Source organism: Homo sapiens, chromosome 4 (assembly GCF_000001405.40).
Source record: "Homo sapiens chromosome 4, GRCh38.p14 Primary Assembly".
NCBI classification, from domain to species: domain Eukaryota; kingdom Metazoa; phylum Chordata; class Mammalia; order Primates; family Hominidae; genus Homo; species Homo sapiens.
Window position 1 is genome coordinate 118627478 of NC_000004.12, and position 9516 is coordinate 118636993.

The window sequence follows — 9516 nt, forward strand, 5'->3', positions numbered from 1 at the left end:
AGTAAGGCTGTGGGATGATGGCAGGAAGATAAAAGAAAAACAGAAGAATAAGTTACAATGACTTATTCACACATATTCTTTTGACAGCAAGAAGAACTTTTAGTATATACATTCCTTACAAACAAACAAAAGGCAGATAAACAATGTTGTATAGGAACTTCAACACACACTGTACAATATTCCCACTTTGCTGACATAAGTTATGGAAATTTCGTGGTTTACTTGAGTGTCACTACCAGTATTTTGCTTCTCTGATTTTTATCAACTTCCTCATCTGTTAACTTCTCTCCAAGGTATGTCATGTCACGACATACTGCCGCTGCACGACCATGGCCAGCGTCTTCCTATTAAACATGTAGAATGCTTTCCTAATTTCTCTTTTTACTCTCTGTCTTTGTGTTTTGCATTTTCCTTACTTTTATTGTCAGAAACTCCAGAAAGTCAATCGTACTAATTTATCACGATTTGCTTTATTAATTTATACTTTGCTTATATGGAATTTTGCCCAACAGACCTCAGTACAATTTCTAACCTGTTTTGTTTTTTTTTCTGAGACAGGGTCTCCCTCTGTTGTCCAAGGCTGGAGTGTAGTAGTGCTATCACAGCTGACTGCAGCCTCAACCTTCCAGGCTGAAGTGATTCTCCCATCTCAACCTCCCACGTGGCTGAGACTACAGGTGCTTGCCACCATGCCCAACTAATATTTGGAATTTTCATATAAGTGGATTCCAGAGGGGTGACAGCAAAACGTGAGTAAGCATGGGTTTTGGTATATGCAGAGATGGGGGGCTGGAACTAATTCTGTATACTGAGGGACGACGACTGTATATGTTTTTACAATTACGCTGTAGGATACATACTGTTGCATAGCCTTGAAAATAATAATTTTTAATTGAGTGGAATAATAATAATATTGCTAAAAGTAGCAGCTGGCCAGGTGTGGTGGCTCACACTGGTAATTGCAACACTTTGGGAGGCTGAGGCAGGAGGATGGCTTGAGGCCAAGAGTTTGCGATAGGCCTTGGAAACAAAGGGGGAGTCACCATCCCTACAGAAAAATACATGAATTAGCTTAGTGTGGTGGCATGTTCCTGTAGTCCCAGCTACTTGGGAGGCTGAGGTGGGAGGATCACTTGAGCCCAGGGAGGCTGAGACTGCAGTGAGTCATGATCAGGCCTCTGCACTCCAGCCTGGGTGACAGAGTGAGACCCTGTCTCAAAACAACAAAAAAGTAGCAGCTAACATTAACTGACCTTTTATACCAGGTGCCTATTGATATCATAGTTTAATTTCTTATAACTGTTTCTTATTTCACTTACCAACTCTGTCTTCAGTTACTCCCAGATTTTTACTGTGTTTGTACAGATGACCTTTTGTTTAGATTGAATTGTCTCCCCAGAAGTAAGATTACTGTGAGACATGGTGAATGGACATTCTCATTACCCTTGATGTAAATTGACAGGGTTTTGGGTGCCTCCCAGCCTATAATCTTAGCACTTTGGGAGGCTAAGAGAGGAGGAGTGCTTGAGGCCAAGAGTTGGAGGAGGCAGTATGGCAATATGGTGAGACCCTGTCTCCATTATTTTCAGAAATTGACAAGCTTTACCCGGGAAGGCTTATACACAATTTAAACACCCCTCATAGTATAAGAAAGTGCCCATTTCACTGCACCTTTGCCAGCACAGGGTATTATAATTTAGTAAGTCATTTTTTGTTTGATTATTTTAAATAGATAAAAGACCTCATATTACTTTACTTGTCACATTTCAACATCTTTCCTTAGCTTATTAGCTCTATCTCTTTTCTGTCTGTAAATGGTGGTTGTTGTTTTGTTCTTTGAGACAGGGTCTTGCTCTGTCACCAGGCTGGACTGTAGTGGCATAATCATGCCTCACTGCAGCCTTGACCTCCCAGGCTCAAACTTCAGCGTTCCGAGTAGCTGGGACTACAAGTGTGCACCACCACTCTCAGCTAACTTTTTTCTTTTTTTGGATAGAGACGGTCTCACTGTGTTGTCCAGACCGGTCTCTAGCTCCTGGGCTTAAGCAATCCTCCTGCATTAGCTTCTCAAATTGCTGGAATTTCAGGCATGAGCCACCATGCCTGGCCTGGGCTAGTCCTGTATTCTCTAGAGTTCTCTTTACTTTGTGCTAGCCAGTCTCTCATTATGCTGTTCACCTGTTATAATGAATAATTCTCCGTATTAAATTTTACCACTTTAAACTTTTGAGTGGTTTATGCTTCCTGATTGGACTCTGACTAATATGTTAGGAAGGGTCCCAGGAGATAAACCCACACAGATGGGATTTGGGCATAGGTTTGGTTTCCCAGGGGGCAGTGCTGAGCTCTTTGCCAGTAGGAAATGGGATGCTGGTGATTTCCAGGAAGTGACCTCACAATGACTCAGGCTAGCACTTACTGTTGATTGTGATGAAATGCCAGCTGAGGCACATGCCTTGGGAGCTAAGTGGTTGCTGCACTTGACCACTATGAAGACTGGTGTGGGAAGGGTCGCTTAGGATGCACTTGAGCAGGGGTCCCCAACCCCTGAGCCATGGAGCTGTAAGGAGCCACACAGCAGGAGGTGAGTGGTGTCGAGTGAGGGAGTGAGGGAAGCTTCGTCTGTATTTACAGCCACTCCCCTTTGCTCACATTCCTGCCTGAGCTCCACCTTCTCAGATCAGCAGCAGCATTAGATTCTCATAGGAGAACGCACCCTGTTGTGAACCGTGCATGTGAGGGATCTAGGTTTCGCTGTCCTTATGAGAATCTAATACCTATTGATCTGTCACTTTCTCCCATCACGCTCAGGTGGGACCATCCAGTTGCAGGAAAACAAGCTTAACACGCCCACTGATTTTACATTATGGTGAGTTCTATAATTATTTTATTAGATATTACAGTGTAATAATGGAAATGAAGTGCCTAATAAATGTAAATGTGCTTAAATCTTTTGGCCCAGCTCCTACCACCCGGCAGCCTCTCCAGGCCCAGAACTTTCTCCAGTCAGCCTCTACAGACCAAGCTCATGACTCACAATGGCCTATTTAGGCCCATACCCTACCTCACGGCAGTCTCCGCAGATGAGCCTACTGCCTCACAACAGCCTCCACAGGCACAGCTCCATCATTACAATGGCCTCTTTAGACCCAGCTCCTGCCTCCCAGCCTTCTCTCCAGGCCCTGAACTTTCTGAAGTCGACCTCACCAGGCCCAGCTCATGCTTCTTTGCAGCCTCTCCAGGCCCAGCTCCTGCATCTTGGTGGCCCCTCCAGGCCCAGCCTCTGCCTCCCGTCGGCCTCTACAGTCCCAACATCTGCCTCATAGCAGATTCTTGAGGCCCAGCATCTGCCTCACTGTGGACCCCCCAAGCCAAGCTCCCAACCTTTCAGCAGCTTCTACACACCCAGCTCCTGCCACCCAGTGGCCTCTTTAGGCCAAGCTCATGCTTCACAAGGGCCTTTCCAGGCCCAACTTTCGTCTCATGGCAACCTTCCCTGGCCAGATTCCTGCGTGTCTCCCAGCAGCCTAGACAGGCCCAGGTCTTGCCTCACACTGGCCTCTCTACATCCAGCTCATGCCTCACGGTGACCTCTCCAGGCACAGCTCCTGTCCCAGAACGTCATCTCCGGGCCCAAAACTTACTCAAGTCAGCCTCTCTAGTCCCAACTGCTGCCTCCTGGTGGCCTATGAAGGCCCAAAATCTCCTCAAGTTGACCTCTCCCGGCCCAGCTCCTGCCTCCTGTCAGCATCTACAGGCCCAACCTCTGCCTCATGGGGGCTTCTCCGGGCCCAGCTCTTCCTATTGGCTGAGTCTACAGGCACAACTGCTGCCTCACAACAGCCTTTTTTGGCCCAGTTCCTGTCCAGTTCATGGCGGCCAATGTAGGCCCAAAACTTCCTCAGGTCATACTCTCCAGGCCCACCTTCTGCTTCCTGGTGGCATGAACAGGCCCAGCTTTGACTTGAGAACAGCCTCTGCAGGCCCTGCTCTTGCCTCCCAGGGGCTTTTCCAAGCCCAGCTCTTGCCTCATGGCAGCTGCCCCAGGCCAAATTTCTTCCTGCCTGCCAGCAGCCTCAACAGGCACAGCTCCTCCCTCACAGTGGCCCATTTAGGCCCCACTCATGACTGTCGGGCCATTTCCAGGCCTAGTGCCTGCCTCCTGGCTGACTCTTTCTTGAAGCCCAAAACTTCCTCAAATCAGCCTTTTGCCTAACTTCTGTCTACTGTCGGACTCTACAGGCCAGCCTCTGCCTCACAGTGGACCCTCCAGACCCAGATGGTGTCTCACTGTGGCATCCTCAGGCGAAGCTCCTGCCTTTCGGCAGCCTCTACAGGCCCAGCTCCTGCCTTGCAGTGGCCTCTTTAGGCCAAGCTCATGCCGCATGGCGACTTTTCCAGGCACAGCTTTTGCCTTTTGCAGCCTGTCCAGGCCCAGAATGTCCTTAACTCGGCATCTCCAGGACGAGCTTATCCTCCCAGTGCGTCTACAGGCCCGTCTCCTGCCTCACAACAACCTCTTTTGGCCCAACTCCTGCTGAGCTGCTGGCAGCCTCTGTAGGCCACAGACTTCTTAAAGTAAAGCTTTCCAGCCACCTTCGGCCTCCCAGCAGCCTCAGCAATCAAACTATTCCCTCACTGCGGCCACCGAAAGCCAAGTTTCTCCCTGCCTCATGGCATCCTCCGAAAACTGAGCATTTGCCTCACGGTGGCCTCCCCAGGCCACGAATCTGCCTGCCTCCCAGGCAGGTGCTGCCTCACAATGGTCTCTTTAGGCCCAGCTCATGCTAAAAGATGGACTCTCCAGGTACAGCTCTTGCCTCCTGGCAGCCTCTGCAGGCCCAAATTCTCCAAAAGTTGGCCTCTCCTAACTCAGCTCCTGCCTCATGTCGGCCTACACAGGCCCAGACTCTTACCACACAGTAGACCCTCCAGGCCCACCACTTGCCTGATCATAGCCTCCTAAGGCCAAGCTCCTGCCTTTCAGCAGCCTCTACAGGCCCAGCTCCTGCCTCGCAATTGCCTTTGTAGGCCAAGATCATGCCGCGAAGTGGCCTTTCCTAGCCTAACTTTTGCTTTTTGACGCATACTCCAGTCCCAAAACTTCCTCCAGTCAGCCGGTCCAGGCCAAGCTCTTCCTCCCAAAGGCTTCTGCAGGCCAAAATCATCCTGAAGTCACCCTCTGCAGGCCCAGCTCCTGCCTCCAAGTGCTGTGTAGGCCAAGCTAATGCCTCACAGCACACTTTCCAGGCTGAGCGTTTCCTTTTGTGCATCCTCTCCAAGCCCTGAACTTACTCCACTTGGCCTCTCCAGACCAAGCTCTCCCTCCCAGTGGCCTCTACAGGCCAAAATTGTCCTCAGGTCTGCCTCTCCAGGGCCACCTCTTAGCTACCAGTGGCTTCTGCTGGCCAAAATCGACCTCAAGTCAGCCTCTTCACACCCAGCTCTTGCCTCTGAGTGGCCTCTCCAGGAGCAAAACTTTCTCAAGTCGGCCTCTCCAGGCCCAGCCTCCTGCTTCCCGAGGGCATGTACAGGCCCAGCCTCTGCCTCACAGCAGACTCTCCACACCCAGCTCTTCCCTGTCTGCGGCCTCTCCAGTCCAAAGCTGCTGCTGCCTTTTGGCAGCTTGTACAGGCTCAGCTCCTCCCTCACGGTGGCCTCTTTCAGCCCAACTCATGCCTCTTGCAACCTGCCCAAGTGTCAGCTCCTGTCTCACACTGGCCTGTTGAGGGCCAGCTCATGCCTCTCGTGGCCTCAACAGGCCCATCCCCTGCCTGTCGGCGGCCTCTACAGGCCCGGCCTCTACCTCACAGTGGGCTCTCCAGGCCCACCTCTTCCTCACCGTGGCCTCCTGGGGCAATGCTCCTCCCTCTCGGGAGCCTCTGCGGGCCCAGCTCCTGCCTCCCAGTGGCCTCTGTAGACCAAGCCCGTGCCTCAGGGCAGCCTTTCCAGGCCTAGCGTTTGCTGCTTTGCATCCTCTCCAGGCCCTGGACTTCCTCCAGTCGGCCTCTCCAGGCCCAGCTCTTCCTCTCGGCGGCCTCTGCAGGGCCAGACTGTCGTCAAGTCGGCCTGTCCAGGGCCAGCTCCTGCCTCCCGGCGGCCTCTGCAGGCCCAAGTCGTTCTCAAGTCGGCTTCCCCAGGCCCAGCTCCGGCCTCTTGGCGGCCTCTCCGGGTGCAAAAGTTCCTCGAGTCAGCCTCTCCAGGCCCAGCTCCTCCTGCCTCCCAGTGGCCTCTTTCGGCCCAGCCCAGCTCATGCCTCCCGGCGGCCTTCCCAGGCCCCGCTTTTGACTTTCGGTGGCCTCTGCAGGCCTCGACAAGGCCCGGCCTCCTGCCTCCAGAAGGCCTGCACAGGCCCAGCCTCTGCCTCACAGCGGACTCTCCACGCCCAGCTAGCTCTCGCCTCACTGCGGCCTCCCGAGTCCAAAGCTCCTGCCTCTCGGCCGCTTCGGCAGGCCCAGCTCCCGCCTGCCAGTGGCCTCTTCAGGCCCATGGGGCTCATTCCTCACAACAGCCTTTCCAGGCCCAGTTTTTCCCTTCCGGCGGCCTCTCCGGGCCCAGAACCTCCTCAAGTCGGCCTCTCCAGACCCACTTGCAGCCTCCCGGCATCCTCTCCGGGCCCAGCTCTTCCTCCCGGCTGCGTCTCCAGGCCCGACTTTGGCCTCCCAACAACGTCTTTGGACTCAGCTCCTGCCCAGCTCCCAGCGGCCCTGGTAGGCCCACAGCTTCCCGAAGCCAAGCTCCCCAGGCCCAGCTCAGGCCTCACGGTGGCCTCTCCAGGCCAGCTCCTGCCCTCTGATGGCATCTGCAGGCCCCAAACGGCCTCCGGTTGGTGGGCTCCTCTAGGCCCAGCTTGGGCCTCCTGGCGGCCTCTGCAGGCCCAAATCGTCCTGAAGTCGGCCTCTCCAGGCCCAGCTCCGGCCTCCCGGCGGCCTCTGCAGGCCCAAGTCATCCTCAAGTCAGCCTGGAATTGGGCCTGGAAGAGAGCAAGTCGGCCTCCCCGGGCCCAGCTCCGGCCTCTTGGCGGCCTCTCCGGGTGCAAAAGTTCCTCGAGTCAGCCTCTCCAGGCCCAGCTCCTCCTGCCTCCCAGTGGCTTCTTTCAGCCCAGCCCAGCTCATGGCTCTCAGCGGCCTTCCCAGGTCCCGCTTTTGACTTTTGGCGGCCTCTTCAGGCCCAGAACTTGACCTCCAGTCGGCCTTTGCAGGCCCGGCCTCCTGCCTCTCAAAGGCCTGCACGGGCCCGGCCTCGGCCTCGGCCTCACAGCGGACTCTCCACGCCCAGCTAGCTCTCGCCTCACTGTGGCCTCCCCAGTCCAAAGCTCCTGCCTTTCGGCCACTTCAGCAGGTCCAGCTCCTGCCTGCCAGTGGCCTCTTTAGGCCCAGCTCATTCCTCACAACGGCCTTCCCAGGCCCCGTTTTTCCCTTCCGGCAGCCTCTTGGCCTCTAATTTGTTTATCTTTTGTGTATAAATCCCAAAATATGGAATTTTGGAATATTTCCACCATTATATATTTTGGTAGGTAATTTATTTGGAGTGAGTTTCTGCACCATGCCAGAATTTTTTATTTTATTTTCCTTATTATTTAGTGTTAAACAGGTTTAATGACGGTCATGGCAACTTTTTGGCACAGTGAAAAATATCGCCCATGATCAACGTGTTCTGTTCTGGGGAAGGGGGCAAAGGCAGGGTGAATCACTTTCTTAAAAAGTATAGCTCAAGTTGGGAGTGCAGAGGGAATGGGGAGAAAACCCTCCCGCTGCCTGTGTCGAAGTGTAGGAGCCCCCACCCCCATACTCACCTGAGTCCAGCCCCTCTGGGGAAAGAAGGGGTGCATGAACTCCCCCTAGTCCACAGGCACCTCCCTGTGGCCCAAGGCTCTCTTCACACTCCATCTTGAAGCCCCAGCAGGAGCTATTTTCCAAAAAGTGAAAAGCTCTGAAGGTCCCACAATTCATGGTACATACAGGGGCTCGGAGGAGGGAAACTGCCCAGCTTTCCCCCGGCACAGCTGCAGGGGTAGGGGGTATAGATAAGAGGAGCAGGCCTTGGCCAGGCGTGGTGGCTCACGCCTGTAATCCCAGCACTTTGGGAGGGGGAGGCAGGCGGATCATGATGTCAGGAGATCGAAATCAGCCTGGCCAAGATGATGAAGCCCCATCTGTACTAAAAATACAAAAATTAGCCAGACGTGGTAGCGTGCACCTGTAATCCTAGCTACCCGGAAGGCTGAGGCAGGAGAATGGCGTGAACCCGGCGGGAAGAGGTTGCAGTGAGCCAAGATCGCACCACTGCACTCCAACCTGGGCAACAGAGCAAGACTCGGTCTCAAAAAAAAAAAAAAAAAAAAAAGCAGGCCTTGTTCCGTCCCAAACTGAAAGGATTAAATGGCTTTACCTGGGAGAAGATAACCATCCTGCCCTCCATTGCTACCCCCACATACTGTCCATGTTCTCAGGGGGTACTGTGAGTCCTGGGATCTTCTTTGGGGTCGCCCACCTGCCTGTGGTAGTTATGGAGACCCCCAGGTGTTGAGGCAGGGCTGGGGTGTCCCCTTCCAACCAGGCTGTCAAGGCCCCAGCTCTGGGGCAGAGGCAGTGGCAGGGCAGCCAGGGTTGCGCCAGAGCCTGAGCAGGGTGAGGTGGGGTCAGGCAGGGCTGGGAGTCAGGGCAGGGGCAGCAGCAGTGGACCCGCTATGCACACATCTTCTTCTCCAAGGTTTGTGTGCAGAACATCCTGCCCATGTTGCCCCAGCAGCTTCAGTTGGCACCTGCCCCAGTCCAGCCTCTGGGAACCATGCAGCGGCTCCCAGTGGCCCTGCACCCACCACCAGCATCCGTTTCACCTGCAGTTGAAGATCAGTGAGGTGCCCAGAAGATCATGCAGTCATCAGTCCCACAGAGCAGCCCGCGAGGCTGAGGCTCCTCCCACTGGACCGTCACCCAACTGGCACCACTGCTGCCCCTGCCCCTACTCTCAGCCTGACGTGACTCTCGGGCAGAGACAGTGGTGGGGCAGCCAGGGCAGCGTCAAGAGTCTGAGCCAGGTGAGGTCCGGTCAGGACCCCCACAGGGCTGGGAGTCAGGGCAGGGGCAGAACAAACCTTGGAGGGGAAGATGTGTGCATAGTGGGCCTGGTGGGCGGCTGTGGCCTAGTGGACAGGAAGAAGCAGTGGGCCTGGAAGAGCTGCATGATCAGGGCCGGCACTGGTCCAGGGCGCGTGCAGTGAAGAGGACAGCACCTTCTCGGTCTCCGGTTCCCTGAGCCTGTCCTCGGCTTCTCCACCTGTACAGGCAAAGGGGAAGCTGTCCCCATCACACATGGCACACTTGGGGGTGTTGGGCTTTGGGCTGCAGCTGGAGCATCTTCTCATCTTGCATTTGGGTGTGGTGGGGTCCTCCAGTGTGGGATCCATGTCCGTGGGGTTCCCTCTGCCCCGACCCCGAAAGCCCAGTCAGTTTCTCTTCAGGCTCTGCCCCCTGGGTGGCTCAGCCCAGCTCCTGCCTAGGAAAGCCTTAGTGT

The 9516-nt window shown here is 54.5% G+C and overlaps 1 pseudogene across 2 annotated transcripts in view; it reads left to right on the forward strand.

Annotated features, from left to right (window-relative positions):
- The window catches only part of LOC729218 (uncharacterized), a 43282-nt pseudogene extending 35734 nt beyond the window's left edge, over positions 1-7548 (forward strand). Inside the window, exons 8-10 of one of the 2 annotated variants that reach the window (NR_109983.1) lie at positions 559-749; positions 2812-2869; positions 2963-7548. The product of NR_109983.1 is annotated as an uncharacterized LOC729218, transcript variant 1 (transcript). Of the gene's footprint in view, positions 1-558; positions 750-2451; positions 2585-2811; positions 2870-2962 lie in introns of those variants that run through there. The other variant, NR_103825.1, reaches the window with a different exon arrangement.